Consider the following 17,148-nt stretch of genomic DNA (forward strand, 5'->3'; position numbering starts at 1 on the left):
GATGGTGCCACTGTACTCCAGCCTGGGTGACGAAGCGAGACCCTGTCTCAAAAAAAAAAAAAAAAAAAAAAGCTACCCTTAAAACATCCTTACAGAAACTCTCATAATAATGTTTGAGGTATGCCATGGCCCACTGAAATTCACACTTTTTTTTTTTTTTTGAGACAAGATCTCACTCTGTCACCCAGGCTGGGGTGCAATGAATTGATCATAGCCTTGAACTCCTGGGCTCAAGCGATTCTCCCACCTCAGCCTTTTGAGTAGGTGTGCCACCACGCCTGGCTAATTTTTTTTTTTTTTTTTTTTTTTTAGACAGAGTCTTGTTCCGTTGCCCAGGCTGGAATGCAGTGACAACACTCTACCTTCTGGGTTCGAGAGATTCTTGTGCCTCAGCCTCCAGAGTAGCTGCGATTACAGGCACGTACCACCACGCCTGGCTAATTGTTTAGTAGAGACAGGTCTCGCTATCTTGCCCAGGCTTGTCATGAACTCTTGGGCTTAAACAACCTTCCCACGTGGGTCTCCCAAAGTGCTGGGATTGCAGTTGTGAGACATCACACCCAGCAATTTAAAATTTTTTGTAGAAATGGGGTCTTGCCACATTGCCCAGCCTTTTCTCAAACTCCTAGCTTCAAGCAATCATCTTGCCTCTGCCTCCCAGAATGCTAGGATTACAGGCATGAATCAACATGCCAGCAACACGTAAAATTAACCATCACACTGCACTTCCTTGCTTTGGTTGTATTGTAAGGAACTGGGAAACTGCAAGCTACTTTCCTCTGACTCTCTTTCCAGCTGACTTCTGGCTAGGTTCTGCAATGGGTGCCCCTGGTGAAAGATTAGAAGGGAAGCTAAAGGAAGAGGTCTTCTTGTTCTCTTCTTTTGGCAGTTCCTCTGACAGTGGCAGCAGCAGGTGGATGTAGGCTCCTAGATTCCTTGCTTCACCAGCACAGTGATTGCGGCCACAGCAGCACAGTGATTGTGGACTCTGGGGCTGGAGGAGGCAGCAACAGTGGTGTGACTTTGGGCTCCTGTAACAACAGCAGGAATGCACTCCTTCCCTGCAAGGTGATATGTGCAGTGATTCCAATGAGAATCATAGCAGCAGTGGAGGCTCCAGCAGCCGTGATGGTGCAGTCATCATGGGCTTTAACACTTTCTGGCTGGGTGTGGTGGCTCACGCCTATAATCCCAGCACTTTGGGAGGCCAAGGAGGGCAGATCACCTGAGGCCAGGAGTTCAAGACCAGCTGGCCAACATGGTGAAACCCTGTCTCTACAAAAATTACAAAAATTAGCCAGGCGTGGTGGCAGGGGCCTGTGGTCCCAGCTGCTCGGGAGTCTGAGGCAGGAGAATCGCATGAACCCAGGAGGCGGAGTCTGCAGTGAGCCGAGATCGTGTCACTGCACTCCAGCCTGGGCGACAGAGCAAGACTCTGTCTCAAAAAAATAAATAAATAAAAATAAAAAAAATACAAAAAAAATACAAAAAAATTAGCTGGGCGTGGTGGCACGCGCCTGTAATCCTAGCTATTCGGGAAGCTGAGGCAGGAGAATTGCTTGAACCTGGGAGGCAGAGGTTGCAGTGAGCTGAGATCGCACCACTGCACTCCAGCCTGGGCAACAGAGCAAGACCCCATCTCAAAAAAAAAAAAAAAAGAAAGAAAGAAAGAGAGAAAATTAGACTTGTCTGGGTTCTTTAAATTTTTTTTATTTTTATTTTTATTATTTATTTATTTATTTATGTTGAGACGGAGTTTCGCTTTTGTTGCCCAGGCTGGAGTGCAATGGCGTGATCTCAGTTCACCACAACGTCTGCCTCCTGGGTTCAAGCGATTCTCCTGCCTCAGCCTCCCCAGTAGCTGGGATTACAGGCATGCGCCACCATGCCCAGCTAATTTTTGTGTTTTTAGTAGAGATGAGGTTTCTCCACATTGGTCAGGCTGGTCTTGAACTCCTGACCTCAGCCTTGGCCTCCCAAGGTGCTGGGATTACAGGTGCGAGCCACCACACTGGGCTTTTTTTATTTTTTAGAGACAGGATCTTGTTATGTTGCCCAGGCTGGACTGGAACTCCTTGGCTCAAGCAAGGCTCATGTAGCCTCCTGAGTAGCTAGGACTATAGGTGCACACTATTGTGCTGGGCCATATGGTAATTCTACTTTTAATTTTTAAGGAACCACCAAACATTTCCCCAGATGCTGCACCACTTTACACTCCCACCAGCAATGCACAAGGATTCCAGTTTCTCCACGTCCTCACCAAGAGTTGTTATTTTCCTGTTTCTTTGAATAGCAGCCATCATCCTAATGGCTATGGTCTCATTATAGTTTTGATTTGCATTTCCTTGATGGCTAATGATGTTGATTGAACATATTTTTATGTGCTTGTTGGTCATTTGTATAACTTCTTTGGGGAAATGTCTATTTTAGTCTTTTGCCTCCACCCCCTTTTTTTTTTAAGGCAGGGTCTTGCTCTGTCACCCAGGCTGGAGTGCAGTAGTGCCATCTTGGCTCACTGCAACCTTCGCCTTTAGGGTTCAAGTGATCCTCTTACCTCAGCCTCCCAAGTAGCTGGGACTATAGGTGTGCGTCACCATACCTAGCTAATTTTTGTATTTTTAGTAGAGATGGGGTTTTGCCATGTTGGCCAGACTGGTTTTGCCCATTTTTTAATTGGGTTGTTTCTTTCTTTCTTTCTTTTTTTTTTGAGGCGGAGTCTCACTCTATTGCCCAGGCTGAAGTGCAGTGGCACGTTCTTTGCTCACTGCAACCTCCGCCTCCGAGGTTCAAGCAATTTCTGGCTAATTTTTGTATTTTTAGTAGAGACAGGGTTTCACCATGTTGGCCAGGCTGCTCTCTAACTCCTGACCTCAGGTGATCCACCTGCCTTGGCCTCCCAGAGTGCTAGGATTACAGGCATGAGCCACCGCACCCGGCCAAATTGGGTTGTTTCTTTTTGTTGTTGAGTTGTGGGAGTTCTCTATATATTCTGGATATTAATCCCCTTACCAGATATATGATTTGCAAATACTTTCTCCCAATCTGTAGGTTGTCTTTTGTTTTGTTTTGTTTTTTTGAGACAGAGTCTTGCTCTGTCGCCCAGGCTGGAGTGCAGTGGTGTGATCTCGGTTCACTGCAACCTCCGCTTCCTGGGTTCAAGCAATTCTCCTGCCTCAGCATCCTAAGTAACTGGGATTACAGGTGCCCACCACCATGCCTGGGTAATTTTTGTATTTTGAGTAGACAAGTTTTCACCATGTTGGCCAGGCTGGTCTCGAACTCCCAGCCTCAAGTGATCTGCCCACCTTGGCCTCCCAAAATGGTGGGATTACAAGCATGAGCCACCTTGCCCAGCCTCCCATATTGTTTTGAGTACTGTAGCTTTATAGTGAGTTTTTTTTTTTTTTTTTTTGAGACGGAGTCTCGCTCTGTCGCCCAGGCTGGAGTGCAGTGGCGGGATCTCGGCTCACTGCAAGCTCCGCCTCCCGGGTTCACGCCATTCTCCTGCCTCAGCTTCCCAAGTAGCTGGGACTACAGGCGCCCGCCACTACGCCCGGCTAATTTTATAGTGAGTTTTAAAATTAGAAAATGTTAAGCTCTCCAACTTTGCTCCTTTTTCCCAGGATTGTTTTGGCTATTTAGGATTTTTTGAGATTTTAGGATTTTTTCTATTTCTGCAAAAATTGCTGTTGAGATTTTTTTTTTTCTTTTCCATAGTCTCTCTCTGTTGCTCCGACTGGAATGCAGTGGCACAATCAGAGTTCACTGTAGCTTTGAACTCCTGGGCTCAAGTGATCCACCTTAGTCTCCTGAGGTGGTGGACTACAGGTGTGCATCACCATGCCTTGCTAATTGCTGTTGGGATTTTGATAGGAATTACATTGAGTCTGTAGGTTATTTGGGGTAGTATTGTTGTCTTAACCATATTAAGTCTTCCAATCCATGAACATGAGATGTCTTTCTATTTATTTGGGTCTTCTTATTTATTTCAGCAATGTTTTGCAGTATTCTATGTACAAGTCTTTTACCTCCTTGGTAAAATATATTCTCAAGTATTTTACTTTTTTTGATGCTATTGTAAATGAAAAAAAAGTTTAATTTCTTTTTCTGATTGTTCATTGCTAGTGTATGGAAATGCAACTAACTTTTATGAGTTAATCTTGTTTTCTTTTAATTTTTAAAATTTAATTTAAAAAAATTACCATCAGGAAGTCATATGTGTTGATTTTGTGTCCTGCAACTTTACCGAATTCATTTATTAGCTGTTTATTTGTATTTGTGTGTGTGTGTGTGTGTGTGTGTGTAATCTTTAGCAATTTCTTTTTCTTTTTTGGACGGAGTCTCGCTCTTTTGCCAGGCTGGAGTGCAAAGGTGCAATCTCGGCTCTCTGCAACCTCCGCCTCCTGGGTTCAAGCGATTCTTGTGCCTCAGCCTCCCGAGTAGCTGGGACTGCAGGCGCCTGCCATCACACCTGGTTAATTTTTGTATTTTTAGTAGAGATGGGGTTTCACCATGTTGGCCAAGATGGTCTCGATCTCCTGACCTCGTGATCCTCCTGCCTCAGCCCCCGCAAAGTGCTGGGATTACAGACGTGAGCCACCGCACCCGGCCTAGAGTTTTCTACATATCAGATCATGTCATCTGTGAGCAGAGATAATTTTACTTCTTTCTGGCCCAGTGCGGTGGCTCACGCCTGTAATCCCAGCACTTTGGGAGGCCAAGGCAGGCAGATCACGAGGTCAGGAGATCGAGACCACGGTGAAACCCCATCTCTACTAACAATACAGAAAATTAGCCAGGTGTGGTGGCAGGCGCCTGTAGTCCCAGCTACTCGGGAGGCTGAGGCAGGAGAATGGCGTGAACCCGGGAGGCAGAGCTTGCAGTGAGCTGAGATCGCAACACTGTACTCCAGCCTGGGTGACAGAGCGAGACTCTGTCTCAAAAAAAAAAAAAATTTTTTTTTTTTACTTCTTTCTTTCCAATTTGGATGCCTTTAATTTCTTTTTCTTGCCTTATTGCTCTGGCTACAAATTGTTATATTATGTTGAACAGAAGTGGCAAAAGTGGGCATACTTGTCTTGTTTCAGATCTTAGAGAGAAAAGCTTTTATTCCTTCACCATGAAATATGTTAGCTGTGGGTTTTTAAAAATACGGCCTTCATTCTTACTTCCACATTTATTAAATAAGACCTTGAATAAAGTCATGAATATAACTTTTTATTCATAAAACAATTATTTATTGAGTGCCTACTCTGTGCCTAGTATTGTTTTATGCACTGAAGATAAAGCAATGGCTAGACAGACACAGTGCCCATGGGAATGTGTAGAAGGATTTTAAGCAGAAAAATAACATGATCTAATTTACATGTTTTTAAAGCATCCTGGCTGAAATGGGGAGAATAGATTGAAGTGGAAATACTTAATGGGAGAAATCAGTGGTTCATACTTTAGAAGTCTGAGAGAGATGGTAGTTAACTTGGACATGTATGGTAGCAGTGAATGTGGAGAGAGGCAGATGGATTTGAAATCTCTTCTCGAGGTTGAAGCAACATTGTAAGAACTGGATGACAGAGGAGAGGAAGAAGGAGTTAAGGATGATTCTTAGGTTTCTGACATGAGCAAATGGTGGGACAAGTCCCTTAGATAGAGAATATAAGGGGAGAGCAAGTAGTGACAGGAAGATGAGGCTCGGGTTTGGATATGTTGAGTTTGAGATGTGTATGAGATCTCCAACTGCAGATGTCAGGCAGGTAGTGGTAGCACAGGGAAAGTTGCTTCTTAAGATGGGAGAGACTATAGCATGTTAAATGCTGATTGGTAGGATTCACTGGAGAGGGAGAGGTTTAACACAGGAGAAGAGAGGGATAACTCACGGCTTAAGGTTCTAGAGAAGAGGGGTAGGAGTAATCCTTGGAGATATTAGCATTAGATGAGAAGGGCAAAATCTGTGCCTTATTTATCTTTGAATTTGTTGTAGTGGGGAGAGGGGCAAAAAAAGTCTGGCACATGGCTGTCATTAATGAATAATTATCAGGCTGGATGCAGTGGCTCACGTCTGTAATCACAGCACTTTGGGAGGCCGAGGAGTGTGAATCACCTGAGGTCAGGAGTTTGAGGCCAGCCTGGCCAACATGGTGAAACCCCATCTCTACTAAACATACAAAAATTAAATTAGCTTGCCCACGAACACTTGTTATTATATGACTTTTTGATTATAGCAAGTTCAAATACTTTATTTATTTGAGATGGAATCTTGCTCTGTCACCCAGGCTGGAGTGCGGTGGCATGATCTTGGCTCACTGCAACCTTGGCCTCCTGGGTTCAAGAGATTCTCATGCCTCAGCCTCCAGAGTAGCTGGGATTACAGACATGCACCACCACGCCCCACTAATTTTTGTATTTGTATATATTTTTTTGGAGATGGAGTCTCACTCTGTGGCCCAGATTGGAGTGTAGTGGCGGTGGGGGATCTCAGCTCACTGCAACCCCCACCTCCCAAGTTCAAGTGATTCTCCTGCCTCAGCTTCCCAAGTAGCTGAGATTACAGGTGTGCACCACCACATCCGGCCAATTTTTGTATTTTGTATTCACCATGTTGGCCAGGCTGGTCTTGAACTCCTGACCTCAAGTGACCTGCTCACCTCAGCCTCCCAAAGTGCTAGGATTACAGGTGTGAGACACCGCGCCCGACCTAATTTTTGTAATTTTAGTAGCAATGAGGTTTTTCCCTGTTGGCCAGGCTGCTCTCAAACTCCTGCCCTCAGGTGATCCGCTTGCCTTGGCCTCTCAAAGTTTTGGGATTACAGGCGTGAGCCACCGCGCCCAGCCTTATTTTTATTTTGTTTTTTACCTTTCCTATGGTGCTGAAAAAACTTTTAATCTTTATGCTGTATTGCTTCAAATTTATTAAAATTATGGTCAGCCTAATCCATTTTATGGGCCAGAAAATTGTACAGCATGTTTAGAAAAAAAGATTTATGTAATGGTTAATATAAATAAGGTTTTTTCCTTGGAGGGAAATTTCACTTAACAGAAAAAAATCGATTCTAACTAATATCCACCTTCTTCCTCTTCTCCCTGGAATGGATGAGGTTACCATATGTACAGATTATTGTCATTATCAGGCTGAGCATTTACTGGGTGCCAGGATTGTATTAAGTACTGTAGGTAGTTTTCTCAGTTAATCCTCACAATAACCCTGTGCAGTAGACACTCTTAATATTCCCATTTTATAGAAAAGGACAGTGAAGTTTAGATAAAATTACAGCATCCAAGGTCCCAGCTGGTCAATGGCAGAGCTAGATTTGAACTCAGGCAGTTTGGCTCAGGAATCTGCTTACATGTCTGTGTCTACATAAATAGCTCGGCATAGACAAATGATTGCTAAAGAGCATGCTAATAATGAATGCAAATGGAACACATGATTGGCAAGTGAAGGGTAATTATTACTCAACCCTCATTCTGCACAAATCCACAGCATAATGCAGCCTCTGCTGGGAAGTGTAAGAGCAAATAGCTCACGCATATGTGTGAAGTCCAAGTTTAGACTATCTTCCAGGAAAGGTACAATGGCAGGCAGAGGTAGTAACTGCAGGGCCCTAGCTCTGACAAGAGATTACTGTTAACAGCAGAAGCAAACCCGACTGAAACTGTTAAGTCAGCTAGTACAGTAAGTCCTCACTTAACCTTGTTAACAGGTTCTCGAAAACTGTGACTTTAAGCAAAACAACGTATAATGAAACCAATTTTACCATAGGCCAATTGATATGAACTAGAGTTAAGTTTCTACGACATTTCTGGTCACAAAGATGTAACCAAACTTCTAAATAAAGACCCCAAACACTGCTAATATCAAACATTGAAATAAATGTGAGCTATATATACATTTAAGAAAGATTAATAAAAGCAATGAAGAAAATTATGTACCCATTTATTTCAGTTTAGTGTCTCTGTTGTGGGTGGCGGAGCCTGGAACCTATCACAGCAACTTGGTGCAAGGCAAGAAACAGCCCCAGACAGGACGCTATCCCATCACAGGGTACACACTATCCCATCACAGGGTACACACACACACACACACACACACTCTCTCTCTCTCTCGCTCTCTCTCTCTATGTCTCTCTCAGACTGGGACAGTTTAGACATGCTAATTAACATAACGGGCACATCCCAGAGTACCAGAAGAAAACCCACACAGATATGGGGGAAGCATGCAAACTCCACACAGACAGGGGCCCAGGCTGGGAATCTATTTTTTTTCCTTATTAAAATTATCACTTAGCCTGGTGTGGTGGTGTGCACCTGTAGTCCCAGCTACTCGGGAGGCTAAGGCAGGAGAATCGCTTGAATCCAGAAGGCAGAGGTTGCAGTGAGCCAAGATGGCGCCACTGCACCAGCCTGGGCGGCAACAGAGCAAGACGTCATCTCAAAAAAATATTATTTCGGCCAGGCACAGTGGCTCACACCTGTAATCCCAGCACTTTGGGAGGCCCACGCGGCTGGATTACCTGAGGTCAGGAGTTGGAGACCAGCCTGACCAACGTGGTGAAACCCCATCTCTACTAAAAATACAAAAATTAGCCAGGCATGGTGGCACATTCCTGTAATCCCAGCTACTTGGGAGGCTGAGGCAGGAGAATCGCTTGAACTCAGGAGGCGGCGGTTGCAGTGGGCCGAGATCGTGCCATTGCACTCCAGCCTGGGCAACAAGAGTGAAACTCTGTCTCAAAAAAAAAAAAAAAAAAAAAAAAAAAAAAATATATATATATATATATATAATTTCAAAACATTGACCTAAACGATGTCATCAGAAGACCTGCTACCAATGGCCTTCCATTTTAAATCCATGCAGCTTCTGAGAAGGGGCCTCACAGAGCAGCTAATGACCAAATTCTACTTCAACATCTTCATTTTATGGGTGATATAATGAATTATATTTTAAAAAACATTTGGATGAACTTCTGTGTCTAGAAAGAATACGTTTTGGGAAAGTTTACTTATTTACATTTATTTAACAAACCCTCATATAGAGTTTATCATGTATTGTCATTGTTATAAATGTTTTACATATGTTAACTAATTTAATTCCCATTAGAATTCTATGAGGGTACTTCCCCCCTATTTTTTAGATGACGACATTGAGACACAGAGAAGTTGAGTGACTTGTTCAGAGACAAACAGCTGATAAGTGGCAGAGCTAAGATTTGAACCCAGACACTTTGGCTCCAGAGTTTGTGTTCATAGAATTATATTGTATAGTGCACCAAAAAAAGTGCACTATCTTTAAGGAATCTCGTTATATATCCTTTAAAAATATGAGTTATCTTCCCTTCCCCACCAACTCAATAATGCAATCTGTTTTCTGGATTTCCAAGCATCTAGCTTGTTTAATTTTATAATTGCGATGCTTTATTAAAAATGTGGTAAAATATACAAAACATGAAATTTCCCATTTTAGCTTTTTATTTATTTATTTAAGATAAGGAAGGTCTTTTTCTGTCCCCCAGGCTGGAGTACAGTGGCGCCGTCATAGCTTGCTGCATCCTCAAACTCCTTGCCTCAAGCTATCTTTCCAAGTAGCTGGGACTACAGATGTGGGTCACCATGTCCGGCTAATTTTTAAATTTTTTGTAGAGATAGGGTCTTGCTATGTTGACCAGGCTAGCCTTGAACGCCTGGCCTCAAGCAATCCCCCTCATTTGGGCATTTTAACCATTTTTTAAATGGTTCAGTGGCATTAAGCACATGCACATTATTGTGAAACTATAACCACTATCCATCTCCAGAACTCTTTTCATCTTGCAAAAACGGAAGTTCTGTACCCATTAAACAATAACTTCCCGCTCTCCTCCTACTAACCCCTGGCAGCTACCACTCTGCTTCCTATCTCTATTAATTTGACTACTCTAGGTACCTCATATAAATGAAATCATATAATATTTGTCCTTTTGTGTCTGGTTTATTTCACTTAGCATAATGTCTTCAAGGTTTATCATGTTGTAGCATATGTCAGAATTTCCTTCCTTTTTAAGACTGAGTAATATTTCATTATATGTACATACCACATTTTTTTATCCATTCATCTCTTGATGGACTTTTGAATTGTTTCTACTTTTTGGCTATTGTAAATAATGCTGCTAAAAATACGGGTGTACAAATATCTGTTTGAGTCCCTGCTTTCAATTTTTTTGTGAATATATCCAGAAGTGGAACTGCCGGATTATATGACAATTCTACATTTAATTTTAATTGTGATGCTATTTATTTATTTATTTATTTATTTATTTATTTATTTATTGAGACAGAGTCTTGCTCTGTTGCCCAGGCTGGAGTGCAGTGGCACAATCTTGGCTCACTGTAACCTCCGCCTCCTGGGTTCAAGAGATTCTTGTGCCTCAGCCTCCCAAGTAGCTGGGATTACAGGAATGCGCCACCAGGCCAGGCTAATTTTTGTATTTTTAGTAAAGATGGGGTTTCACCATGATGGCCAGGCTGATCTCAAACTCCTGACCTCAGATGATCTGCCCGCCTTGGCCTCCCAAAGTGTTGGGATTACAGGTGTGAGGCATTGTGCCTGGCCCTATTTTTATTTTTATTTTTAAAGACGGGGTCTTGCTCGGTGGCCCAGGCTGGAGTGCCAAAGGTGTAATCATAGGTCACTGCAGCCTTGACCTCCTGGGCTCATGCAGTTCTCCTGCCTCAATCTCCCAAGCAGCTGAGACTACAGGCATGTGCCACTATGCCCAGCTATAACTGTGATGCTTTTTAGCAGTTAAAAATCATAACATTCTCTAAATATTACAAGAAGGGGATAAACTTTTATGAACCCTTTCTGAGAATGGTGCTAAACAAATCCCTTTTCTGGGTGTAAACTCACCTGGTGAGGCAATGGGGAGCCAGACTGTCATGCTGCCGGAGCCAGGGATGCTGCATTCCTCCACTGTGAAAGCGAGGGTCTCCACAGGCAGGCTGAGGCCCTCAGTGGGCCCTGGCTGGGGCCTGACTCTGAGGGATGCCACTGGCCAGACACTGAGTTCTGTTATTAGACCTCTGTCTGCCCACGTAACCTCCTCCCAGGCTGATGAGAAAGCAGGAGGGGAAGGTTTCAGAGAATAAGAAGCACCTTCCTGTAATTATTGATTAACCAGGGGCTGGCTCCAGGGCCAGAGGCCAGGGAGGGGTCTGCAGGTCAGTTCAGCCCTACCCCACTGCACTTCTCAGAATAATCGTTGTCCCTAAAGATGGATTCACATGGTGAATAGAGAATAAAGTGCATAGTTTTAAACTCTCACAGTTGAGAATGGCCCCAACACATCAGCCCAGACCTGGAGGTTGGGGGCAGGGTGGGAATTTAAAAAGACCACTTTGAGTCAGGGTATCTGGGATCTTGACCAGCTCTGTCACCACTGCCTGTGCCATCTTTACCAAGCAACTTCTCTTCTTGAGGCCTAGCTCCTTATCTAAAAAGTGAGGGAGGAGAAGCAATGATGACCAAGTCCCTTTTGGTTTCAAAATAACCTTACATATTTATTCTGTGGGTCTCCTGTAGACTTCTGCTTTAGGCAAACTTTAAGATGCTTCATCGCTTCAGGTGAAAGGTGAGAGAGGACTTGCTTGCTGGGAGTCAGCCTAGGGCTTCCCCCTTTACAGGAGACGGAGGGTCCCTGCAGGAACACCGGTGAAGGAGAGGGTGTCCCACACACCAGGTTCTGCTCTCTGCTCTCCCCTCACAGACTACAGAACACCAAGTGCCTGCTGCCATGGTCTGCAGTGTCTTTGGTCCTGGGTGGGCCGACCGAGCCCTTGCTCAGTGAGAGTCCTGGGCCAGGAGCCAGACCTCACCCTGGAGCTGCCAGTTACTAGTAGTGCAGTTTTGAACAAGCCACTTTACCTCTGTTAGCCTCAGTCTACTCATCTGAAAATTGGGGGCAATGTCTCCCAGCATTCAGGGTTGAGAATTTCAGAGGAGATTGTGTATGTAAAGCAATTTGTAAGCAGCACAGTTATCTGAGAAGTGTTCTGGCTCAGACAACTAAAGTCTTCATTGTTCCTTCTGTTGTCTGGGTGAGGGCAGGTCAGGCTGAATTGTGCAGGTATGCTTTCTTCTCTTTCTTTTTTCTTTTTCTTTTCTTTTTTTTGAGAGGGAGTTTCGTTCTTCTTGCCCAGGCTGGAGTGCAGTGGTGCCATCTCGGTTCACTGCAACCTCCGCCTCCTGGGTTCAAGTGATTCTCCTGCCTCAGCCTCCTGAGTAGCTGGGACTACCGGTACGCACCACCATGCCCGGCTAATTTTTGTATTTTTAGTAGAGATGTGGTTTTACCATGTTGGTCAGGCTGGTCTCGAACTCCTGACCTCATGATCTGCCCACCTTGGCCTCCCAAAGTGCTGGAATTACAGGTGTGAGGCACCACGTCCGGCCTGGCCAGGATTAAATTTTTTCATGTGAACCACAACACTAAAACTTTGTATATTGCTGCGCTTATCTTACAAATCAGGAAATAGGGGTTCAGAGAAGTTAAATAGCTTGCTTAAGTCACACAGCCAGCAAGTGGTAAAGCTGGGATCTGCATGACTACAGAGCACACAGGCTCCCCACCAGTAGATTAGAGAGGGGGAGGTCTGCTTTGGTGCAGAGACAGGTGGGATCTGTGATGCCCGTTCTTGGTTTCAACATTCTTTTAAACTCTCCTATCTGAGCCTAGGACTTTCTGCAGCCTTCCTGTTTTAGGCTGGCAGCTCACAGTCCCTCTCTGGTTATTTTCAGGTCTGTGTGTGCCACAGAGAGGAAGGGGGCAACCACAGTGGGAACCGCTTTCCAGCCCTGCTGCAACCCCTTTTGAAATAGCAGGCGAGAGGGCTGGTGGCCTCCACTGTGCTCTTCTGTTCCTGTCTGTGGGCATGGCTAAAGCAAACAAGCTCACCCACACCAGCTCCCATCGTGCGGTGGATCAGTGCATGTGCTTGGTTCTGTCTGGCACTGCTGATGGGTGGTTCCTACAGAAAGATCCAGATGCACGGGGTCTGAGGACTGTTTCAGAAGCTCTGTCCGTCCATGCCTGGCCCTGTCCACTTGGGAGTTCCATTAGGCCATGCCTGTTCCAGCTGTCCCAGGATCTTTGATCTGGGTTAGGATTGGCCTGAAACCAAAGGTAGAAAAACACATTCTAATGAGCAGTTGCTGGTCTAGAAGCTTCTCAGCCTAAACTTTATTTCAGCATTTTTCTTTCCCTCCAGATTCAGCTATGAGGCCATCCTATCAGCTTTAGGCTCTGTGGGGGTCCTTGAGAGAGTTCCCCTCCAAGGGACGGACAGATGGTCCCCTTCAAGGTCCTTGTGGTTGCTCAAAAGCCAGGTGCTTGTTTCTTTCTTTTTTTCTCTCCTTCCTTTCCTTCCTTCCCCTCTATCCCTCCTTCCCTCCCTCCCTCCCTCCTCCCTTCCTTTTCTTTCTTTCTTTTCTTTTTTTTTTTTTCTTTCCAGACAGGGTCTCACTGTCATCCAGGCTGGAGTAGCAGCCCCCAATCACGGCTCACTGTACCCTGGATCTCCCGGACTCAAGCAATTTTCCCACCTCAGCTTCCCTAGTAGCTGGGACTATAGGTGTGTACCACCACACCCAGCTAATTTTTAAATTTTTTTATAGAAATGGGGGTCTCACTTTGTTACACAGGCTGGTCTAGAATTCCTGGACTGAAGCAATCCACCCACCCGGCTCTCCCAAAGTGTTGGGGTTACAGGCGTGAGCCACTGCCCCTGGTGTTAGTGTCTGTCTGTCAAGTCAGGAGGGCAGCCATGAACGTTCTGATGTCTACTGAGCACGTGTGGCCCAGACCGTGTGTCAGGTGTTTAGGTGCCATCCACAGAACCTTCCTAATAACCCTGGGCAGCATAGGCTTTCTTATCTCTGACAGATGAGGAAATGGAGACTCAGATTCTGAACCGAAGTCACAGACACAGTAGATGGTAGGTCTAAATGGGGACCCAGGTCTATCTGACTGCAAAGTCCAAACCGTTTCCTTGCCTCTGCTGCAGCCTGCGAGGAGCAGCTGGGCAGAAAGACTGTGCCTTTACGGTGGTGAGTCTTCCGATGCCCAAGCCTCACCCCAGACCGATGAAATCAGAATCTCTGGAGACCCGACCCAGACATTGGTGGGTTTTAGGGCTCCTGGCTGATTCCAGTGGGCAACCGGGCTACCAAGCACTGTTTTACCCTAAGGGTAAGAGGAACATCGCCTCCTCGAGGGCTCTCCAGGTGTGCCTTTCACAGCGTAATCCCGTTCACGAAACCAAAAATCAAAACTAGGCCACTGCCCACTGGTGGCTGATACGCCCTTTTCTCATCAACAGAACCGGGAGGAAGGGCTCTGGTGGGGCTGGCGGTCCCCTGTTCTCCCCGCTCAGGTGCGGCGCTGTGGCAGGAAGCCACCCCCTCGGTCGGCCGGTGCGCGGGGCTGTTGCGCCATCCGCTCCGGCTTTCGTAACCGCACCCTGGGACGGCCCAGAGACGCTCCAGCGCGAGTTCCTCAAATGTTTTCCTGCGTTGCCAGGACCGTCCGCCGCTCTGAGTCATGTGCGAGTGGGAAGTCGCACTGACACTGAGCCGGGCCAGAGGGAGAGGAGCCGAGCGCGGCGCGGGGCCGAGGGACTCGCAGTGTGTGTAGAGAGCCGGGCTCCTGCGGATGGGGGCTGCCCCCGGGGCCTGAGCCCGCCTGCCCGCCCACCGCCCCGCCCCGCCCCTGCCACCCCTGCCGCCCGGTTCCCATTAGCCTGTCCGCCTCTGCGGGACCATGGAGTGGTAGCCGAGGAGGAAGCATGCTGGCCGTCGGCTGCGCGCTGCTGGCTGCCCTGCTGGCCGCGCCGGGAGCGGCGCTGGCCCCAAGGCGCTGCCCTGCGCAGGGTAAGGGCTTCGGGCGCACCTGGAGGGCTGGGGCAGCTAGCGGCTGGGGGAAACCGCCTTGGTCACCGCAGTCTGTGGGAGGCTGGAGGGAGGAAAGGAGGTGCGACGGATCCCCTTTTCTGTGGCTGCCTTGAGGCCCCGCGGGTACCTAGCTGTGTGGTCGCGGGTAGTGGCTCTTGCGCCCCCTGCTGCGCTTGCTCCCTTGGTCCGGAGCGCTCCCCGGAATGCCCGGTGAAGCTGTGCGGGAACCCTGCGGTCTGTGTACAGGACTGTGTCCTTGCAAACCTGACTCTCGAGCTTCCTTCCCAGTGCCCCCAGGAGCCTTTACACAACCGCGTCCCAGGTTACTCTAAGGGGAGACTGCCCGAGAGGGCGCGCCCCAGCGGGGTGATGTACCCGCCTGGGGAGTCCTTTGTACCAGCGCCCCTCTTCTCCCTCTGCATTGGGGGTCCACCTCGCCTGGTCCTCCCCCCACCCCCGCGGGTGCATGTGTGGATGACAGTGCCCTGACTATGAAGGGACTGACATCACGGGCGCTGAGTCACGGATCTTCCCGCTGCACGGAGTCACTTTGGCAGCCACCAACTCTGGGAAGCCAAGTGCCCCAGTCCTGGGAATTGAGTCGGGAGGCTGGCAAGGGAGTGAGACCTCCTGGGGCTGGCACGTGCTGGACTCCCCTCTAGAAAAGAGAAGGACCCGTGAGGGAGAGGGCAGAGGCACTTACTGCTCCCGTTGACTGTAATCTGCCCCTGGCAAACCAGGCTTTTCTTGGGCTCTGGCCGCATGCCCAGCTGCGTGTCTAGTCTCTCTTCTGGAAGAGTTGGGCAACTGGCTCTCCAGAGGTTTATTTTAGGGTCCCAGTGCTTCTTTGAGGACACAGCAGAAAACTAAGGGGCAGCTGACAGGCTTCTGGAACAGCTGACAGGCTGGGGAGGCTGAAGGCTAAGACTTTCAACCACTAGATCACACTGAATTCCAGTCCTAGGTGAACACTGATCTCTCCCTTTGAGGAGGTGACTTTCTGCAACTAGAGGCTGAGCTGGAGTGTCTGAGGCTCTCTTTGCTTTTTGGATGGTTGTGGTCCTTATGATTGGAAGAAAAAAAGAAGGGATTCCATTTTCAATACACATTTATAACTCCTGCCAGTAACAGACACTGTTGATTGGGGCACCCATTCAATGTTTTCTAATCCTCCACTGTATCTACATATAACTTTGTTTGAAAGAGGAGACTGAGGTTCAGGGAGGTTGGGATGGCGGGATGGCAGGTTGTCAGGCCCCGGTGATGGAGGCCAACCCCTCCCGTGGCTCTGTGCTCCAGTGTGGTAGATGTCTAAGACTCTCAAATATAGAACTAGATCAGCAGGCAGAGCTGGGGGCATTGGGGCAAGCTGAGAGTCACTCTTGTCTGGCTGAGTGCTGGGACAGAAAAGGCTGAGGGAGGGAAGTGGAGGCCCAGGCTTGCCCATGGTGGTGTTAGAGGGATGCAAGACAGGTTCCAGGGCTCGGATGGCCTCAGGAGCAAGCAGGGCTCCCTTGGCTGCCTCTGCTGCTGTCACGCCAGCCCAAGGCTCCTGCCCCAGGGAGGTTACTGTTACTGCTGTAGTTGCCACCACCTGTTGCTCCTGAGTGGATGCTAGGCCCTTCCAGGGCAGCCAGTTACAGTCAGTTTTCCATTTCCCTGGTGCTCAGGAAGGATTAGGAGAGGTGGTCTCATGGCCTGAACAGCCCATGAAAGGCAGAACTGAGAGACTGGGGAGGAAGTGAAAGTCCTCCCAGCTCAGAAGGAAAATGCAGAGAAGTAGAAATACCCAGCCCCTCTCCCACACCCACACAGACTCAGCCCACAAACTGGAGAGTAAAAATAAAGAAATCGTACAGGAAGCATGGAGCAAATGACTGTGAGATGTTTCGCTTTAGAGAAGTGAGGAGCAGAGGGGGAGCAGAGGCTGGAGTTGGCTGAGAGGGGAAATCCGCAGGTACAGCCTGCGGGGCTCTTAGAGCCCAGAGGTTTGTTTTCCTCGGGATCAGCTGCCGCCCACACACCCTGGAGCTGCCAGGACTTCTCAGGTGTACTCGTTGTCTAAGGGCCTGGACTAGCTGGGACTTAGGCTTCTGCCGGTTCCAACACTCTGGTGCTGGAAGGCTGGACTTGGGTGACTCAAGTTCCCTCTTCCTACTGCAATGCAAGAAAATACACAAAAGAAGTATGTATACCTTTAAGTATCTCAAAGAGCTATCTCAGCTTCTGAATTT

The 17,148-nt window shown here is 47.4% G+C and overlaps 1 protein-coding gene and 1 long non-coding RNA gene across 16 annotated transcripts in view, besides 3 other annotated features; one reads left to right on the forward strand and one right to left on the reverse strand.

Annotated features, from left to right (window-relative positions):
* IL6R-AS1 (IL6R antisense RNA 1) lies at positions 11,500-15,743 on the reverse strand. The gene is made up of 2 exons (NR_147855.1): positions 15,618-15,743; positions 11,500-13,136 (listed from the first exon to the last, which is right to left on the reverse strand). It is a non-coding gene; the product is annotated as an IL6R antisense RNA 1 (long non-coding RNA).
* Positions 14,327-14,456: a silencer, noted in NCBI's record as "silent region_1356". NCBI's record gives its function as "represses an Ori minimal core promoter by ATAC-STARR-seq in GM12878 lymphoblastoid cells {active_cell/tissue: GM12878}" and the evidence as "EXISTENCE:reporter gene assay evidence [ECO:0000049][PMID:35858748]".
* Positions 14,522-17,148, forward strand: part of IL6R (interleukin 6 receptor) — a 64,108-nt gene continuing 61,481 nt past the window's right edge. For all 15 annotated transcript variants that reach the window (XM_017001199.2, NM_001382771.1, NM_001382773.1 and 12 more), the window contains exon 1: positions 14,522-14,893. In XM_017001199.2, the coding sequence (XP_016856688.1) occupies positions 14,809-14,893 (85 nt within the window). In that variant the 5' untranslated portion in view covers positions 14,522-14,808. The remainder of the gene's footprint in view (positions 14,894-17,148) is intronic.
* Positions 14,657-14,806: a silencer, noted in NCBI's record as "silent region_1357". NCBI's record gives its function as "represses an Ori minimal core promoter by ATAC-STARR-seq in GM12878 lymphoblastoid cells {active_cell/tissue: GM12878}" and the evidence as "EXISTENCE:reporter gene assay evidence [ECO:0000049][PMID:35858748]".
* Positions 15,046-15,652: an enhancer, noted in NCBI's record as "H3K27ac-H3K4me1 hESC enhancer chr1:154378343-154378949 (GRCh37/hg19 assembly coordinates)". NCBI's record gives its function as "activates a minimal SCP1, AML or CMV promoter by ChIP-STARR-seq in naive H9 embryonic stem cells {active_cell/tissue: H9 hESC(naive)}" and the evidence as "EXISTENCE:reporter gene assay evidence [ECO:0000049][PMID:30033119]".

Source organism: Homo sapiens, chromosome 1, assembly GCF_000001405.40.
Source record: "Homo sapiens chromosome 1, GRCh38.p14 Primary Assembly".
Lineage (NCBI taxonomy): Eukaryota > Metazoa > Chordata > Mammalia > Primates > Hominidae > Homo > Homo sapiens.